The 20,848-nt window shown below is 46.5% G+C and overlaps 1 protein-coding gene across 19 annotated transcripts in view; it reads right to left on the bottom strand.

The window, feature by feature from the left end:
* Positions 1-20,848, bottom strand: part of NSD2 (nuclear receptor binding SET domain protein 2) — a 110,800-nt gene that overhangs the window by 88,725 nt on the left and 1,227 nt on the right. For 4 of the 19 annotated variants that reach the window (NM_133330.3, NM_133331.3, NM_133335.4 and 1 more), the window contains exon 1: positions 577-686. The exons of 13 other annotated variants lie outside the window; for them this stretch is intronic. The gene's annotated coding sequence lies outside the window, so the exon portion shown is untranslated. Of the gene's footprint in view, positions 1-576; positions 687-1,204; positions 1,303-20,848 lie in introns of those variants that run through there. 2 more of the 19 variants (NM_001440892.1, XM_047416141.1) reach the window with 1 other exon arrangement.

The raw sequence follows: 20,848 nt of genomic DNA, 5'->3' as shown, positions 1-20,848 counted from the left end.
AAACGGAGTCTCTGTCGCCCAGGCTGGAACTGTGCCAGTGGCACAATCTCAGCTCACCACAGCCTCTGCCGCTGGGTTCAAGTGATTCTCCTGCCTTAGCCTCCCGAGTAGCTGAGACTACAGGCATGCATCACCACGCCTGGCTCATTTTTTTGTACTTTTAGTAGAGACGGGGTTTCACTATGTTGGCCAGGCTGGTCTCGAACTCCTGACCTCAGGTGATCTACCCGTCTCGGACTCCCAAAGTGCTGGGATTGGAGGCATTTAAGCCACCGAGCCTGGCCTGAGAGTTTAATATGCATATCTCTTTCACAAAAGAAAGGTGTAAAATCACAAGGACAAAGAACGGAAGGGATTAGAGTTAGAGATGTCAAACCTGGGGATGCGGACTTAGAGGAATCAGATTGGTACTGGAGAAGTGCTGTTGTAGGAAGAAGACTAATAACCTAAGAATTCCTCGTTTATAAATATTTTTCTTCTTAAAATTACAAATGCAACATGACCATTATAAAAAAGATGAAAATATTTGAGCACTCAGGTGAAAAATAAAAATACAGAGGTTAAAACAAAAATTACCAGTTAAGAGTTACCAGTGGTTCTAGGACAGGCACGGTGGCTCATGCCTGTAATCCCAGCACTTTGGGAGGCTGAGGCGAGCGGATCACAAGGTCAGGAGTTCAAGACCACTCTGGCCAACATGGTGAAACCCGTCCCTACTAAAGATACAAAAAATTAGCCAGGCGTGGTGGTGCACGCCTATAATCCCAGCTACTCAGGAGGCTGAGGCAGGAGAATCGCTCAAACCCGAGGCGGAGGTTACAATGAGCCGAGCCGAGATCAGGCCACTACACTCCAGCCTGGGCGACAGGGCAAGACTCCGTCTCAAAAAAAAAAAGAGTTATCAGTGGTTTTCTAAGGGGGACAGGAACAGAGGTGGGAAGAGTTAAGCATCACATTGCTGTTTTTTAAAATAAGTGCTTAGGAATTATATAACTAATTATTCACATTTCATGGAATATATACAGTATTACCTGACACGTTAAGGGGCTAGGGAGGCTGAACAGCCCCTATAGGACCACATGGACCTTGGGAGGTCTCCAACATGAGGGGAGGGACTCCACTCTCAGAAGCAGGGGGAAGGCTATGGACAACAACAGTCACCATTCAGAACCCACTCACTCAGGCCGGGTGTGGGGGCTCACACCTGTAATCCCAGCACTTTGGGAGACCAAGGCAGGAGGATCGCTTGAGCCCAGGAGTTGGAGACCAGACTGGGCAACATGGTGATGGCGAGACCCATCTCTAAAATTAAAATAAAAATAAAGAAATAAAAATAAAGAACCACTGAGTCCCACCCAAGTTCTCCAGCACTTGGAAATAGAGCAACAAACAAAATGCCTTCCTTATTCTTGAGGTGCTAATATTCTAGAGGAGAGAGGCAGAAAATAGGAAGAGTAGATATGCTAGGAAAAGAGAAAGCATAGAGGGCAATGGGGAGGCAGGAAGACTATTCCTTCCTGGACTGGGGCTGGGTAAGCCCTAGTGTGCATTTCTGGTGAGGTTTTTCGTTTTTTCGTTTTTGTTTGTTTTTTTTTGTTTTTTTTTTTTTTTGAGATGGAGTCTCCCTCTGTCGCCCAGGCTGGAGTGCAATGGCGCGATCTCGGCTCACTGCAAGCTCCGCCTCCCGTGTTCACGCCATTCTCCTGCCTCAGCCTGCCGAGTAGCTGGAACTACAGGTGCCGACCACCACGCCCGGCTAATTTTTATTTTTGTATTTTTGATAGAGATGGGGTTTCACCATGTTAGCCAGGATGGTCTCGATCTCCTCACCTCGTGAACTGCCCGCCTCAGCCTCCCAAAGTGCTAGGATTACAGGCATGAGCCACCGTGCCCGGTTCTCTGGGGAGCTTTAACACTTCAGACACAGTAGGCCTCACTGCTCCAACCTTGCCCACTGGCTTAGATGTCAGCTAAAGCCCACTCTGATAATTCCGTGAATCCAACTGAGCAGAAGGAGGTCTCAACCCTAGGACAGCAGTGAGATATTCAGGACATTCCCCAGAGCCAGGCCGTGAGACGGACCAAGCTCCAACCCATTCCTCCGGGGGCGGAAAAGACTGAAATGGAAAACCCAAGTTTGCAAATATGATTTACACATACCTAAAATACCCTCATTTTCTAATATATCACACTAGTCTGCCTGAAATATATTTCAGCCCTGCTATCACTGAATGATGGTAGAACCTCTGTTCTCATATAAAACAATTCCACGTAGGCGGGGCACAGTGGCTCACACCTGTAATCTCAGTACTATGGGAGGCCAAGGCAGAAGGATTGCTTGAGCCCAAGAACTCGACATCAGCCTGGACAACATGGCAAAATCCTGTCTCTACAAAACATACAAAACTTAGCTGGGCGTGGTGGCATGTGCCTGTGGTCTTAGCTACGCGGGAAGCTGAGGTGGGAAGACCACTTCAGCCTGTGAGGTGGAGACTGCAGTGAGCCAAGATCACGCCACTGCACTCCAGCCTGGGTGACAGAGTGAGACCTTGTCTCACAAAAGAAAAAAAAGGCCGGGCGTGGTGGCTTACCCCTGTAATCCCAGCACTTTGGGAGGCTGAGGCAGGTGATCACCTGAGGTCAGGAGTTCGAGACCAGCCTGGCCAACATGGTGAAACCCCGTCTCTACTAAAAATAGAAAATTAGCCAAGCGTGGTGGTGGGCGCCTGTAATCCTAGCTACTTGGGAGGCTGAGGTAGAACCACTGGAACCCAGGAGGCGGAGGTTGCAGTGAGCCGAGATCATGCCATTGTACTCCAGCCTGGGCAACGAAAGTGAAACTCCATCTCAATAAAAAACCTTGTATAGGCCGGGTGCGGTGACTCACGCCTGTAATCCCAGCACTTTGGGAGGCCGAGGTGGGCGGATCACGAGGTCAGGAGATCGAGACCATCCTGGCTAACACAGTGAAACCCTGTCTCTACTAAAAATACAAAAAACAATTAGCCGGGCATGGTGGCGGGCGCCTGTAGTCCCAGCTACTCGGGAGGCTGAGGCAGGAGAATGGCGTGAACCCGGGAGGCGGAGCTTGCAGTGAGCCGAGATCATGCCACTGCACTCCAGCCTAGGCGACAGAGCGAGACGCCATCTCAAAAAAAAAACAAAAAACAAAACAAAACAAAAAAAACTTGTACAAGAATGTTCACAGCAGCATTATTCGTAATAGCAAAAAGCAACCCAACTGTCTATCAACTGATGAATGGTTGAACAAAATGATCTATCCATGCGATGGATATTTAGCCACAAAAAGAAATGACGTCCTGATTTATGCTACAACATAGATAAACATGATGCTAAGTGAAAGAAGCTAGATACAAAGGCCACATGCTGTATGATTCCATTTATGTAAAATGTCTAAAATAAGCAAATCCATAAAGACAGAAGTAGAATGGCTGCCAGGGGCTGGGAGAGGAGAGGATAGGAAGTGACTGCTTAACAGTGCAGAGTTTTTTACTGAGCTGATGAAATGTTTAGGAATTAGGTAGTAGCAACTTTTGCACAACACTGAACATACCAAAAACACCACTGAATTGTACACTCTATAATGGTTTAAACAATAAATGTTATGTGAATTTTATCTCAATTAAAAAAAAAAAAGGTCGGCTGGGCACAGTGGCTCACGCCTGTAATCCCAGCACTTTGGGAGGTCAAGGCGGGTGTATCACCTGAGGTCAGGAGTGGATCACCTGAGGACCAGCCTGACCAACATGATGAAACTCTCTCTACTAAAAATACAAAATTAGCCAGGCATGGTAGCACATGCCTGTAATCCCAGTTACCTGGGAGGCTGAGGAAGGAGAATCGCTTGAACTCAGGAGGCGGAGGTTACAGTAAGCCGAGATGGTGCCATTGCACTCCAGCCTGGGAAACAACAGCAAAACTCCGACTCAAAAAAAAAAAAAAGTCAAATCTTGGCCGGGCGTGGTGCCTCACACCCATAATCCCAGCACTCTGGTTGGCCCAGGCAGGAGGATCGCTTGAGCCCAGGAGTTCAAGACCAGCTTGGGCAACATAGCAAGAACCTCAGCTCCACAAAAAGTAAAAAAGTTAGCTGGGTGTGGAAGCGCATGCCTGTAGTCCCAGCTACTCAGGAAGCTGAAGTGGGAGGATCGCTTGAGCCCAAGAGGTAGAGGCTGTGAGCCATAATTACACCACTGCACTCCAGCCTGAGTGGCAGAAGAAGACCCTGTCTCAAAAAATACTAATATACGACTGGGCGCAGTGGCTCACGCCTGTAATCCCAGCACTTTGGGAGGCCAAAGCGGGTGGATCACCTGAGGTCAGGAGTTCCAGACCAGCCTGGCCAAAATGGCGAAACCTCGTCTCTACTAAAAATACAAAAATTAGCCAGGCATGGTAGCGGGTGCCTGTAATCCCAGCTATTCGGGAGGCTGAGGCAGAAGAATCACTTGAACCCGGGAGGTGGAGGTTCAAGTGAGCCGAGATCATGCCACTGCACTCCACCCTGGCCAACAGAGTGAGACTGTCTCAAAAAAAAAAAAAAAATACTAATATACATGGGAAGCTCAAAAATAATAAAGCAGCCAGGCGTGGTGGCTCACGCCTGTAATCCCAGTACTTTGGGAGGCCGAGGCCGGTGGATCACTTGAGGCCAGGAGTTTGAGACCAGCCTTGCCAACATGGTGAAACCCCATCTCTATTAAAAATACAAAAATTAGCCAGGCGCAGTGGGTTCACGCCTGTAATCCCAGCTACTCCGGAGGCTGAGGCAGGAAAATCGCTTGAACCCTGGAGGTGGAGGCCGCAGTAAGCCGAGATTGCCACTGCAATCCAGCCTGGGTGACAGAGTGAGACTCAGTCTCAAAAAAAATAAAAACAATTTAAAAATTAAAAAATAAAGTAATGCCTTCAAAATTCTGAGGAAAAAATCATTACCAACCTAAATGATATATACCCAACCAAGCTATCAGCTGAGGATATGCACAGATGATTCTCTGGCATATAAAGTCTTTTTTTTTTTTTTTTTTTTTTTTTTTGAGGCAATCTCGCTCTGTCACCCAGGCTGGAGTGCAGTGGCCTGATCTCAGCTCACTGCAACCTCTGCCTCCCAGGTTCAGGCAATTCTCCCTGCTTCAGCCTCCTGAGTAGCTAGGATTACAGGTGCCCAACACCAGGCCTGGCTAATTTTTGTATTTTTAGTGGAGACTGGTTTCACCATGTTGGCCAGGCTGGTCTCGAACTCCTGACCTCAGGTGATCCACCCACCTCAGCCTCCCAAAGTGCTGGGATTACAGGCGTGAGCCACCGCACCCAGCCATATAGCCTTAATAAACGTTGCCTCACACATATTTTAAGATAACTATCAGACCACGTATCACCAAACATGAAGGTAAACTAAGGAAGACATGAGATGCAAAAAACAGATGGTCCATCGCAGAAGATGATGTGAACAGCTGTGCAGCAGAATAGGGAGGAGTCCAATCTGGAGCAGGAAGACAGCTCTGGGAGAAAGGTCATCACAGAAGAAAAAAAAAAGAAAAAAAGGAACTGACAGATCTAGTGTAACTGACCATCCCAAAGGCTTTTTATACAGTTCATTTGAAAAACTTTAGGCTGAATTAGTAACAGATACATGGAAAATAAAGCCAACAGAAAAACTTACCACCAGGAAAACAAAGTCATACAAGTAAATATTATCCATCACAGTGTATGATTTAGCTGAACAATGTAACAATTTATATTCATTTAAACCAAACCTTGCTATAAAAGTGTGGTAGATTAAAAACAGCCAACAAAAATTAGCCAGGTGTAGTGGCTCACGCTCACACCTGTAATCCCAGCACTTTGGTAGCCTGAAGTAGGAGGACTGCTTGAGCCCAGGAGTTGGAGGCTACAGTGAGCTATGATCGTGCCACTGTACTCTCGCCTGCGCAAGGGAGCAAGACCTCACCAATAAAATATAAATAAAGATGGTCAATAATTCTTTGTCACTCTACCAAGAGATGAAGGTCTGTTTCCCCACTCCCTTGAGTCTAGCCTGGCCCTGTAGCTGTTTTTACCAACAAAACATGGCAAAAGTGGGGACTTGCTATAACTGAGCAAGGGAGATTTAAAAAAAAAGAAGAACATGTCAAAAGTGATGACAGTTCTCACTACAGCATTTAAAACGACTGGCAGATCTCACTTCCTCCCTCATGGAACCAGCCACCACGCTGCAAGGAAGCCCAAGCAGCCTCATAGGATAGACCACACTGGGAAGAATGAAGCCCATGGCCAAAAGTCCCTACTGAACTCTCACAGTTGACAGCCAGTACCAACAAGCTGGCATCACATGGAGCAGGAGGAACAAGCTAACCCTGGCAAACCATGTCCCACTTACAAAACTGTAAACAAATACAGGTTGTTGTTTTTTCAACCACTAAGTTCTGGAATAGATCATCAAACCACCACAATATTGGGAATGTTGGGAAGAAGAAGGGAGGTAACATGGGAGGTAAGAGGGGGCGGGTTAAGAAAGCTAAATCTTCCATCATCTTCCACAGATAGAATTGAACATATATCAATCTGGAAGTTCTAAAATTAGCAAAATAAGCAAGTTATTTTTTTTTTGAGATGGAGTCTCGCTCTGTCCCAAGGCTCAAGTGCAGTGGCGCGATCTCAGCTCACTGCAACCTCCACCTCCCCAGGTTCAAGCGAGTACCCTGCCTCAGCCTCCTGAGTAGCTGGGACTACAGGTGCACGCCACCACGCCTGGCTAATTTTTTGGGTGTGTGTATTTTAGTAGAGACGGGGTTCCACCACGTTGGCTAGGATGGTCTTGATCTCCTGACCTTGTGATCTGCCCGCCTCGGCCTCCCAAAGTGCTGGAATTACAGGCGTGAGTCACCGCGCCCAGCCGCAAGTTACTTTTTAAAGTACAGATAAATAGAAACAGCTGAAAGGCCAGGCACAGTGGCTCAAGTCCGTAATCCCAGAACTTTCAGAGGCCAAGATGAGTGAATCACTTGAGGCCAGGAGTTCAAGACCAGCCTGGCCAACATAGTGAAACCCTGTCTCTATTAAAAATACAAAAATTAGCTGGGCATAGTGGTGCACACCTGTAATACCAGCTATTCAGGAGACTGAGGCACGAGAATTGCCTGAGCCCAGGAGATGGAGGTTGCAGTGAACTGAGATCATACCACCACACTCCAGCCCTGGCCACACAGTGAGATCCTGTCTCAAAAAGAAAAAAGAAAAAAAGGAAACAGCTGAAAGAGCAGAGGTTGCCTTGATGGAACTCTGAAGGGGAGTACAGCAGGGACTGTCACCTTTGATTACAAGACTCACAAAGCATACGTCTTCAATGGACGCGCTTTAGTTTCGTAAAGGAAAAGATAAGCAGAAAATATGCTTCAACATTTTGGTTGGTGAGAGCAGAGTTGTATGTATCCTTCCACTTTTCTGTATTCTACAAATTATTCATAAAATATATTTTCTGATTATAGAATTATTAAAAATACTTAAGCTAATTTTGCCATAATGATGTGTCAAATTGCACATCTCTGGAAATAAAATTTATATAAACTCTAGGCTGGAACTCACACAACTCAGTTTTTCTATATCATTCCTGCGCCTGGAACTTGTCCTGAGGGAAGAGAGCAGTGAGGAACTACCTGTACTCAGGGCAGCTCTGCAGAACCGGTGCAGAGATCTCTGGGTGGTAACAAAGAGGAGCAGTGCATGGGTACCAAGAGAGGCAGTAACAGCTCCTGAGAGGGGCACCCACCAAGAAGGCACAGCCATGAAGAGCAGCTAGGCTCAAGGACCCAGAGCATGCCTCCACACTCCAGCATGATGTGTGGCCCCAAGCAGCCACTTGAGACTCCCCAGAGGCAGAAATGCAGAGCAAGGACAAGGTCCTATCAAAATACATGTCAACAGGGGCCACTGAGACAGACTTCCTTTACCTCAGAAGTTTTATCAACATATCAGAAGTTTTATCAACTTACAAGAATGACCAGGGCCCCCTCTCGCAAAGAAAAGAGAAGGCAATGATCACAGTTCATTCTGTTGTTATTTTTTCTGAATCAGCAGAGAGCCCTCAATAATGCTCCACTGATCCATAAGCAGGTGTCTGAGATAGGGCACTGGCAATGTCTTGTTTCTGCCCTTTACTGATTTAATCCACTAATTTGCTGAAATGCCTTATAGCAGCTGTGAACATACTGGTATATAAAAAATAGACATGCATTCAGCCTAAAAAGGTAGATAGTGGACAAACAAGCAGCACTATTTGTTTCAAAGGAGTTACAGGCAGTTGAATTTTATTTTTTTTATTTTTATTTTTTTTTTTTGAAACAGAGTTTTGCTCTTGTCACCTAGGCTGGAATACAATGGCATGATCTCGGCTCACTGCAACCTCCGCCTCCCGGGTTCAAGCGATTCTCCTGCCTCGGCCTCCTGAGTAGCTGAGATTACAGGTTGCCGCCACCACGCCTGGCTAATTTTTAGTATTTTTAGTAGAGACAGGGTTTCTCCATGTTGGTCAGGCTGGTCTCAAACTCCTGACCTCAGGTGATCCGCCTGCCTCGGCCTCCCAAAGTGCTGGGATTACTGGCGTGAGCCACCACGCCCAGCCCAGGCAGTTGAATTTTAAAGACACACTTGCAGATTTCAGAACTCAACTGAAAAGAACCCAATAAACTGTTAACACGATATATAATCCCAATTTGTCTTCTACAAATAGAGCATACAATTTGCAGATAAAGAACGAGGCTGGGCCCAGTGGCTCACGCCTATAATCCTAGCACTTTGGGAGGCCAAGGCAGGCAGATCGTGAGGTCAGGAGATCGAGACCATCCTGGCCAACATAGTGAAACCCCATCTCTACTAAAAATATAAAAATTAGCTAGGCGTGGTGGCACATGTCTGTAATCCCAGCTACTCGGGAGGCTGAGGCAGGAGAATCACTTGAACCAGGGAGCTGGAGGTTGCAGTGAGCCAAGATTGGGCCACTGCACTCCAGCCTGGGTGACAGGGCACAACTCCGTCTCAAAAAAAAGAACAAAAGGGGCCTGCGGTGGCTCACACTTGTAATCTTAGTGCTTTGGGAGGCGAAGGTGGGCCAGATCACTTGAGCTCAGCAGTTCGAGACCAGCCTGGGCAACATGGCAAAATCCCATCTCTACAAGAAATACAAAAATTAGCCAGGCACAGTAGCATGCACCCATAGTCCCAGCTACTTGGGAGGCTGAGGTGGGAGGATGGCTTGAACCCAGGAGGCAGAGGTTGCAGTGAGCCAAGATCATGCCACTGCACTCCAGCCTGGGTGACAGAGCAAGACCCCATCTCCTCCCCGACAAAAAAAGGGAGAAAAATCTAATTTTTATATCTGCAACTTTCTCAGTAGTCTCATTTTGTAAGTTTTCATTGTGGGTAGTGCTGCTTCTGCTGAAATGTCATTTTTCTCTCCCACTTAAGGAAGAATAAGTTGTCTTAAGTTAAACAAGCTTCTCCATGCTCTCGTGACAGTTCAGCCTCTATCCTAGGCTACTGTGTAGAAAACCATGAACAGAGAACAAGAGGCAGCAACGCAGCTCCTGCGTGCAGCTCCATGTGGGCCACACTCGCTTCTTATCGCCATCTAGGCAGCTCCTTCAGCTCACACATGCTGAGCACCCACACATGCTGCTCGCTCTGGGAATGCAGCCATGGACAAGACACAAGAGCCCTGCTTTCATGGGGCTTCCACTACAGCTGGGAGAGCAGATGGGGACAACAAACAAGGTGGGATCAGCAGAGCGGAGGAGGTACGCTTTTTTTTTTTTTTTTTTGGAAACAAAGTCTTGCTCTGTTACCCAGGTTGGAGTGCAGTGGTGTAATCTGGGCTCACTGCAACCTCCACCTTCTGGTTCAAGCAATTCTCGTGCCTCAGCCTCCTGAGTAGCTGGGGTTACAGGTGTGCGCCACCACGCCCAGCTATTTTTTGTATTTTTAGTAGAGACAGGGTTTCGCCATGTTGGCCAGGCTGGTCTTGAACTCCTGGCCTCAAGTGATCTGCTTGCCTCAGCCTCCCAAAGTGCTGGGATTACAGGCCTGAGCCACTGCGCCCAGCCCTGCAGAGGGGGTACACTTTTAAATGGGGGGAGGGGTATCAAGGTGGGGTTCATTGAGAAACTGTTACTTGAGCTAAGGAAGTCCACAAATTTTTATTTCTTAATGGGCTTTCTCTTGTTTCTGAACCTGAAATGGAAGGTAATGTAAATGCACACAGAAAGAATGCTATCTGGACAGTAAATGGCACCTCTAGCCATCTGGTTCTGTCAGACAAAAACTTAGGGCTATCACTGGCACCAGAACTTCCCCTCATCTCTCCTTATCCCAAACAACACAACTTATCAATTTTACTCCAGAGGCCTTCCTAGCTAGGCCTGTCCACTTTTCTCCACACCCACAATCCCAAGAATGGCCAACCACCAAGCTCTTTCACCAAGACTGACGCCAACAGCCTCCTGACTTATCAGTCAGGAAATTCAGACAGTAGCTCTCAACTCAAGGGCATCAGAATCACATGAAGGACACATTAGAACACAGATTGTTGGGCCCCACTCCAGAGTTCATGATGCAGTAGGTCTGAGACATGAAAATGTGCATTTCTAACTAGCATCCAGGCCACTGAAGCTGCCAGTCTGGGGACCAGACTTTGAGAACCACTGGAGACTAGGTTATGGTACAGTAACAAGCCCAAAACTGTTACTTGGCTCAACCCAGTTTTTTGTTGTTGTTGTTGTTGTTGTTTTTGAGACAGAGGTCTTGCTCTGTCGCCCAAGCTGGAGTGCAGTGGCGCGATCTCAGCTCACTGCAAGCTCCACCTCCCGGGTTCACACCATTCTCCTGCCTCAGCCTCCCGAGTAGCTGGGACTACAGGCGCCCGCCACCACGCCCAGATAATTTTTGTGTGTTTTTAGTAGAGACGGGGTTTCACCGTGTTAGCCAGGATGGTCTCGATCTTCTGACCTCGTGTCCACCCGCCTCGGCCTCCCAAAGTGCTGGGATTACAGGCATGAGCCACTAAGCCCAGCCCAAAGTTTTCTTTCTTGCCCATAGTACATATCCGTTTGTTTCCACAGTCAGAAACAAGAGAAAGGGAACACGATAAAGCACGTGTCTCAGCGCTTCCACTCAGAAGTTACGTGTCACTTTCCAATGGCCAGAGCAAATCACAGGCCACACCACATTTCAAGGAGACAGGGCTGTCCAATCCAATCAGGGACCCAAAGCAGGGACAAAGGAAAGGTTTTCACCTGAACAGAGTGACCACAGATTGGGCTTCTGTACACACTCTTCCGGAACCTTCCCCAGCACCAACTCAATCTACAGAGCAATCTGAGGAATCTTCTTTCCAAAGCAAATAGATTCATGTCACACCATCACCCTTAAAACCTCACATTGCTCTTAACAGGACCTAAAAGAACTTGCCTGACACCCTCTGCTCCAGCCACACCAGCTTCTTCCTGCTCTATCACAGAAGCTCTGCACAGGCTCTTCCCTCCATCTGATACTCACCCCCACCCTCATGGAGCCAACACCCAATCCCCGTTCTGCTCTCTGCTCCCTGCTCTAGTGTCTATCCCATCAGGAAGTCTTTCCCAAAGCCTTGTCAGGTATAACCTCCCTATTATATGCACCTAGATCTTTCCTTCATGACTTGCTTTGTGTGATGAGGAATTCTAAACACATATAAATGTGGAGAGAATAATTAGAACCAGGGCTCAGAGGGGTGGCTCATACTTGTATTCCCAGAACTTTGGGAGGTGCAGGCAGAAGGACTGCTTGAGTCGAGGAATTCAAGACCAGCCTGGGCAACATGGCAAAACCCTGTCTCTATTTAAAAACAAAAACAAGCCAGGCACGGTGGCTCACGCCTGTAATCCCAGCACTTTGGGAGGCCGAGGCGGGTGGATCATGAGGTCAGGAGATCGAGACCATCCTGGCTAACACGGTGAAACCCCGTCTCTACTAAAAATACAAAAAAATCAACCGGGCGTGGCAGCGTGCGCCTGTAGTCCCAGCTGCTGGGGAGGCTGAGGCAGGAGAATGGCGTAAACCCAGGAGGCGGAGGTTGCAGTGAGCCGAGATCGCGCCACTGCACTCCAGCCTGTGTGATGGAAAGCAAGACTCCGTCTCAAAAAAACAGAAACAAAAACAAAACACATAAAAAATTAGCCAGGTGTAGTGGCACACGCCTGTGTCCCAGCTACGCAGGAGGCTGAGGTGGGAGGACCATTTGAGTCCGGGAGGGACCCTATCTCAAAAAAAAGTTAGAACCCATGTGCCCATACCACTCTCAACCTAGACCAGCCCTGAAGTCCTGATGTAACCACAAATAACCTACTCCCTCTCCCATAGGATCATGACACAAACCCTAGATGATGTACCATTTCATCAGTAAATGTCTGTATGCACCTCTAAAAGGGAGGAATTACTAAACATAACAAACCCACTATCACAGCTAAAAATAAAAATAATTCCTCAATAATAAATATAATCAGTGTTCCAAATTCTGTCTCAAATATCACAAATGATATTCAGCTGTTTCTCTAACAAACTGATCTGACACAAACACAGATAAGCCCTACAATAAAAATTAGTCCATGTTCCTCCAGTCTCTTGTCATCAGTCCCCTTCATTTTTCCCTGTTGATGAGTATGGCTTACTGGTCTTATAGTTTCCCACATTTCTCAGTGTTGCCAATGGCAACTCTGTAGTATTTCTCTTGCCCCTGTATTTCCTGTAGATTGGTTGTTAAACATAGGAGCTTGACTGGACTCAGGTTTGATTTTTTTTTTTTTTGGCAGGAGTATTTCACAGATTTTTCAAAGATATGACCTTTGCTCACTGTCCCTCCCCATTTCATCCCATTACAGGCCTATAAAACCCATGGGAACGAGGACATAGGTCTTGGCTCATCATTGGCACACAACTGATACTCAATGAATGAAGAAATATCAGGCAGAAGTACACTGCCACACTGACTGGCAGAAATATAATGGCTCAGTCTTCCATGCACATATAGACTGCTGTATGTTAGTTTTCCAAGAGGCAAAACAAAGTAAGTTCCCAGGGTACAGAATCAGAGGTCAGGCCCTGCAGGAGTTCTAACTTCATCACATACAGCCTTGTGACTTTGGATCAGTTACTTGACATCTTTGGGATTCAATTTCCTGCTGTGAGGATTCAATGAGAAGAAGATGCTTTGCTGCTGAAAGATTTGTGTAGCAAGGCTCTACAAAGATTACACCAACTCCGAATTTTGGAGGGGAAAGAACACAGAAGCCTCCTATTTCTAACACATATTTTAACCAAAAATCTAGAAATTCACATTTTTATGAAATAAAAATCATTAGGAAAACAGAATAATACCCAAAAACTATCTCTACTTGTTAACTAAGTGCTTTCCACATTTAGGCACTGAAGACATATCAAAGGGCCCTCACCTTGAAAAATTCACAACCTGGAGAAGAGAATGGGGCAAGAGCCTGTGCAACATGCTAACTGTCATAAGAGGGCCCAGTACTCACAAAGGCATGACAAACTTGGGAGAAAACACACACACACACACACACACACACACACACACAAGTGCCATGGGCCCAGGGTCTGCAACACCCGGTTCTGGTAGAAATAGGGAAAGGCTTCACAGAGATGAGAGGTGAGCCATAAAACCACCACAGCAACACAAAATTAGGCAACTCAGGAAGAAGCAACAGCACATGCAAAGATCCATGGGACAGGGCACGGCTCATCACAAGAGCTACAGGCAGCATGATGAGATCTCACAGCAACCACAAAGGACTGGCCAGCAAAGATGCTAGAAAGACAGGCAGGATCACTGGCCAGAGTCACAGAGGAAAGAAAAAATACACATTTTTTAAAAAATGTGTGTAGGCCAGGCGCGGTGGCTCAAGCCTGTAATCCCAGCATTTTGGGAGGCCGAGGCGGGCGGATCACAAGGTCAGGAGATTGAGACCATCCTGGCTAACACGGTGAAACCCCGTCTCTACTAAAAATACAAAAAAATTAGCCGGGCATGGTGGCGGGCGCCTGTAGTCCCAGCTACTTGGGAGGCTGAGGCAGGAGAATGGTGTGAACCCAGGAGGCGGAGCTTGCAGCGAGCTGAGATCACTCCACTGCACTCCAGCCTGGGTGACAGAGCGAGACTCCGTCTCAAAAAAATAAAATAAAATAAAATAAAATAATTTTAAAAAGTGTTGTATATATTTACATATATACACATAGATACATAAAGGAAAGACAGGCAGGAACCACATGCCATGCTCAAGATCTAGGGCTTTCTCTTCTAAGCAAACAGTGAAGCTCCAGAGACACATTTTTAGGCAGGTAGGTGAGATCAGAGCTTCCTTCTGGAAGGAAATAAGGTAGGTCAGAAGCGAGGCCCACTTTCCCTTCCCCTGGTTCACAGAGAGGTAACAGTACCAGCAACTACCCAATCTTTCCATCTGTAAGGATTGGACCAAGGACCCTCTCCTGCACCACTCTCACGCTATGGCCCAGTCCGGGCAATGCTGCCTCTGCTCATTCTCTCCCACCTGTCCACACCTTCCCAGCCTTGCCTCCTGTGCATTGGTTAAGTCACAGTTCTCCAGCCCTGCTAATGGTGCATAAGGCTCTTCTGTGACCTCTGCCACCAGCCCATGGCCCTCCACCTTTCCAACTCCACATCAAGGCAAAATGCTCACACCACTCCCCTTCATTCACACCATTTCTGGGACATATTATGCCCCCTAAGGCATACGAAGTACTGAGGGCTGTGTATGTATTCAAATAGTCACTGAATGCCTGACAGTCACTCAGGTACCATTCCAGGTGCTGAGGACATGACAGCAAGCCAAGCAAAAGGAAAAAAGTCCCTGCCTTCACAGATGACCCAATGCAGCCAGGAATTCACATGGAATGTTGGAGGTATGTGCTATGGAGAAAATCTAAGGCAGATGTGGAGTGCCAGATAGCAACAGAATAATTAAAAAAAGTTTTTTTGGCCAGGCATGGTGGCTTACGCCTGTAATCCGAACACTTTGGGAGGCCAAGACAGGCAGATCACTTGAGGTCAGGAGTTCGAGACCAGCCTGGCCAACATGGCCTAGTCTCTACTAAAAATACAAAAAAAAAAAAAAAAAAAAAAAAAAAAAAAAATATATATATATATATATATATATATCAGCCGGGCATGGTGGCACACACCCGTAATCCCAGCTACTTGGGAGGCTGAGGCAGGAGAACCGCTTGAACCCAGGAAGCAGAGGTTGTGGTGAGCCTAGATTGTGCCACTGCACTCCAGCCTGGGTGACAGAGTTAGACTCCGTCTCAGAAGTGTGTGTGTATATATATAATACTTTTTTTAAATTTTATTTTTCTTTTGGGACAGAGTCTTACTGCCACCCAGTCTGGAATGCAGTGGCATAATCGTGGTTCCCTGCAACCTCAAACTCCTGGGCTGGAGTGATCCTCTCGTCTTGGCTTCATAAAGCACCAGGATCACAGATAAACTGTAATAGTACCTGGTCACAACAGAGTACTTTAAATCAGTGGTCAGAGAAGGTGCCCGAGAGGGAGAAGCACAAAGACCTGAAGGAGGGTGAGGGGTAAGCCACACAGATACCTGGGGACAGCATTCCAGGTCAAAGAAGGAACAAGGGCACTAGTCGGAGGCAGCAGAGCTGCAGGGCTTCAGAGCAGGCAAGAGGCCCGTGTGGCTGGAACAGAATGAGAATGGGAGTGGGTGACGATGGAAAAGACAAGAGCCTCCCAAAACAGGCAGGAGTCAGGCACAGCATTCAGTGTGGGGCCCAAGCTGAGACCTGGCAGAAGGAAGGAAGAGGGAAAGCATGCCTATCCCCCAAACACATGGGGTAAGGGGGCACATGGGCAGAAGAAAGGAACAAAAATTGACCACACAAAGGCCCAGAGGAAAAACATGGCAGAAAGAGATGAGCTGAGTAACTGAGATGAGGGCAAAACAAGTAGTGCAGTGAGAGTCAGAAAGCCAGTGAGAGACTCGTCTTGAACCCCAATGGGCAGTGAGAGTCACCCCCTGAAGACTGGGGACACATAGGACATCTGTATTTTAGAAAGACAAGGCAGTGTGTAGAGAACTACCTGAAGACAGTAAAACCGGAGTCGGAAAAATGCTTTCTGATCATTAGCCTCCATAATATAGCAGCAAAAAATATATGAAAACCATCAAAATGTAAGAACATTGCTAACATGCACAGATCCTCTAAAAGCATAACAATTTTTTTTTTTTCCTTGAGACAGAATCTCGTCCTGTCGCCCAGGCTGGAGTGCAGTAGCATGATCTCGGCTCATTTCAACCTCTGCCTCCCAGGCTCAGGGAAGTCTCCTGCCTCAGCCTCCCGAGTAGCTGGGATTACAGGCACCCACCACCACGCCCAGCTAATTTTTTGTATTTTTAGTAGAGACGGGGTTTCACCACATTTCCCAGGCTGGTCTCGAACTCCTGACCTCAGGTGATCTGCCTGCCTTGGCCTCCCAAAGCACTGGGATTACAGGCGTGAGCCACCCACCGCACCAGCAAACGGCATAACAAATTTAATTCACATCATCAACTCTCTCAGTGCCAACTCAAGTCAACTTAAAAATTGAGGTTCCAATTCCTTCCAGAAAAAAAAAGCATTTTTTCTACACACCCACTAGGGTAGTCTCACTATTGGGGTTTTGTGTTTAGGTTTGTTTTTTGAGAGAGGGTTGTGCTATCTCCCAGGCTGGAGTGTGGTGGTATGATCACAGCTCACTGCAGCCTCAAAGTCCTGGACTCAGGTGACCTCCCACTTCAGCCACCCAAGTATCTGGGACTATAGGCACACACCACCAAGCCCAGCTAATTTTCAAAAATTTTTGTAGAGATGGGGTCTCCCTATGTTGCCCAAGCTGGTGTCAAACTCCTAGTCTCAAGTGATCCTCCCACCTCAGCCTCCCAAAGTGCTGCAATTACAGGCATGAGCAACTGTGCCTATCCACTACTGGAGTTTTTGAGCTGAGGCCATCACTCAGCTAACCAACACTGCAATTTCTATCCTTGTATATTTTGTTGAAACCACTAAGTATTACAGAAAGTAAAATGCTTTGAAAACTCATCTGGGGCCAGGTGGTTTTAGGAAAGCAGATACTAAAACAAAACTAATTTGAAATCTGTCTTGGTTTTTTTTTTTTGAGACAGGGGTCTTGCTCTGTCAACCAGGGTGGAGGGCAGTGGCGCGATCTCAGCTCACTGCAAGCTCCGCCTCCCAGGTTCACACCATTCTCCTGCCTCAGCCTCCCGAGTAGCTGGGACTACAGGCACTGCAACCATGCCCAGCTTATTTTTTATATTTTTAGTAGAGACAGGGTTTCACCATGTTAGCCAGGATGGTCTCAATCTCCTGACCTCATGATCCACCCGCCTCGGCCTCCCAAAGTGCTGGGATTACAAGCTTGAGCCACCGCACCCAGCCAAAATCTGTCTTGAATTCTTTTTTTTTGAGATGGAGTCTCGCTGTCTCCCAGGCTGGAGTGCAGTGGCGCAGTCTTGGCTCACTGCAAGCTCCGCCTCCTGGGTTAACGCCATTCTCCTGCCTCAGCCTCCCGAGTAGCTGGGACTACAGGCGTCCACCACCATGCCCAGCTAATTTTTTGTATTTTTTTTTTTTAGTAGAAACGGGGTTTCATCATGTTAGCCAGGATGGTCTCGACCTCCTGACCTCGTGATCCAACCGCCTCGGCCTCCCAAAGTGCTGGGATTACAGGCGTGAGCCACTGCACCCGGCCAATCTGTCTGGATTTTTTAACTAGCAAACCAAATGTAATCAAATCAATCAATTCTTTAAAAAGCTATACTGCAGGCCAGGCACAAGGCCGAAGTGGGAGGATCACCTGAGCCCAGGAGTTCATGACCAGCCTGGGCAACATGGTGAAATCCTGTCTGTATAAAACACAAAAATTAGCCAGGCATGGTGGCACATGCCTGTTGTCCCAGCTACTCAGGAGGCTGAGGTAGGAGGATCGATTGAGCCCAGGTGATCAAGGCTGCAATGAGCCGTGATCATATGACTCCACTCTAACCTGGGTAACACAGCAAAACCCTGTCCCAAAAAAAAAAAAAAAAAAAGTAAAAAGCTATACTGCAACTTGGCCGGGCACAGTGGTTCACACTTGTAATCCCAGTACTTTGGGAGGCCAAGGCAGGAGGATCACTTGAGGCCAGGAGTTACAGAGACCAGCCCAAACACTGCAAGACTGACTCCATAAAAAATTTTAAAATTAGCCAAGCATGGTGGCATCTGCCTGTAGTCCTAACTACTTAGGAGAATGAGCTGGGAGGAAAGCTTGAGCCCAGGAGTGCCAGGTTACAGTGAGCTATGATTGAACCACTGCACTCCACACCAGGTAACAGGTGAGACCCTATCTCAAAAGAAAAGAGCAATATTGCAACCAATAGACAAATATAAAATGCTAGAGTCCCTGGGTTACCAACACAAGTCTTTTTCTCCCCCAAAGTACTCGCTGTAAATAACCATTCATTAAAAAGGAATTAGCAAATCATACAGTTTACAAATACAAGCCTAATCCTCTAAAGCCCCCATGTCATCTCCTCTTTCGTATTCTGTGTACTTTATATTTTTTTATCTTCACCAAGGATAGAGAAATTGACGAGGTAGATTTCTTGCTCCATCTTGGTGGTAGTACAGATCTGTTCTACTACTTGTTGGACTTATATACTTGCAATGTTTCAGAGTGACCTTAGCCAAGCCATTTCCTTTCTAGACTCAGCTTCTTCTCCCAGATGCTCCATTACTTACAAAACAGAGAGGCAAACAGGCCAGATATCGGCATTAAAATGGGCTGTTTGTTTACCCTAAGCCATATACCCATTTATTCGGCACTTACTGAGTGTATGCCATGAGAATGCACCAGCAGAGGCAATGCTGCCCAAGGCAATGACAGAGTCCTACCTCTAAGAGTTAACCCAACAGGGGAGAAAGGTCACAAGTGGCCATTAAAAAGCCATGAATTATGCTCAAAGAGGAAGGACAGGTGGCAGGTAGTCCACACCCAAGAACAGCCCACACAAAGGCCTGGAGTCAGGACATGGTACCACGTATTTGGAGAACAAGGTCACACTTACTACAATCAAGCAAAACAAGAGACTGAGGCTCAGAAGACTAAAATGCTTATCCAAAGTTGTATGCATTCTATGGCCATGAGCAGCCCACCAAAAAACAAAACAAAAACAAAAAGGCAAAACCAAACACGTAGATCAGAATATATGAGTAAAAAGCCTTATGGCTTCTGTTGCTGCTGATTAATTATTTACTTAGAAAGGTTATTTGCCCACTTGCCCAGCTAAAAAGGACAGGGCAGAGCCAGGAAGGCTGAGTGTGCCTGTAGTAACCACTACTCAGGAGGCTGAGGCGGGAGAATCACTTGAGCCCAAGAGTTTGGGACTGAAGTGCACCATGATTGCTCTCCTCTGAAATAGCCACTGCACTCAAGCCTGGGCCACATAGAGAGACCCTGTCTCTAAAAATAAATAAATAGCACAGGACAAAATACGTTTGGATTATGAACTTCAGCACCATCTTAGCACTTCTTTTAAGTTCTTGCTTGGTAAAGAGAATCCTGTAGCTTAGTAAGCCTAATTCCAGCTACTTTTGCATGTTTTACACTGAATCTTCAAACAAAAAAAGTTCACATTCTGCCATGTGAGTAAACTTTGTAAGATTTGATTACTTTTAGAAGGAGAAGATAATCTGAATAGGCAGAAGGCTGTACCCATGTAAGCCCCACAGGATTAGGAGGAGTGGGTTGTCTTCTACCTATTCAGATTATCTTCCTGACTCATTCTAGGACTCTGCTTAATGCTTCATTTGGGTCCGCACACTTCAGCAAGTACTGGTTTGAAAGCCCTGGATAAGCTGATTGCATAGAAACAAAGCAAGTCGCACCTGCAGCCTGCTGACCTTATAATTTTGTTGTGCATGGCTCCAAAAGTTATATTAGTTTATATGTTACATACGAATAGATACGATAAATTGTCCATCATTCTTTCAAATTCTCAGTTAATTACCTCATACTCTTAAAATAAAATCTTTACTGTTATAATCAGAGGCCAGACTCTGGTATTAATGCAGTCAGGAGAGGACAATTTTTGTACTGAGATCAGAGCTCTTCACAAAAGCTTACACAAACTCAAAATTGTGCAGTAAGTCCTCACTCTACCAACCATCAGCCCAAAACTGAAGGTTGCTGGGTTTGGGTGGCTGAGAAAATGGAAGGAAAGAAAAGGAAATGACTCAAAGTAATCGTGCTTAAAGCATGAGTCCTCTTCATCTCCATTTGGCAGTTTAGATTTGAACCACCATCAGTTGTGGGGAATGAGAGCACACATCAAGTACACAAGGAAAGGCTGTGCTCACAGAACTTGTTTGCTTTATGTTGTTGGCGTTCTGCTCTTTAAAATATTGTTGTTCTCATCACATTTAAATACGTAACTAGGGCACTTAAAACATTTTGGGAAAATTAAAAAGTTTAAGTCCCAAGTTCATAAATGGGATGGCTCCTAAGTTATTTTCCACGTTGATATTTGAAATACACAAAATAGAGTGAATATAACCCATGCGTGATGCTGGCGTTTAACTCATTTAAAAATCAAGGCTTGAAAGTCTGTGAAGCAGGTGGGTAGCACTGAAGAGCTGCTCCTGAGCCAGGCCTGAACTTTATCCAATTAGTCTTGTCTTCACAGGGTCTGCGCGCTCTCTCTCTCTCTCTC

The sequence above is a fragment of the Homo sapiens genome, chromosome 4 (assembly GCF_000001405.40).
Source record: "Homo sapiens chromosome 4, GRCh38.p14 Primary Assembly".
NCBI classification, from domain to species: domain Eukaryota; kingdom Metazoa; phylum Chordata; class Mammalia; order Primates; family Hominidae; genus Homo; species Homo sapiens.
This window is presented reverse-complemented; position numbering and strand designations above follow the sequence as displayed.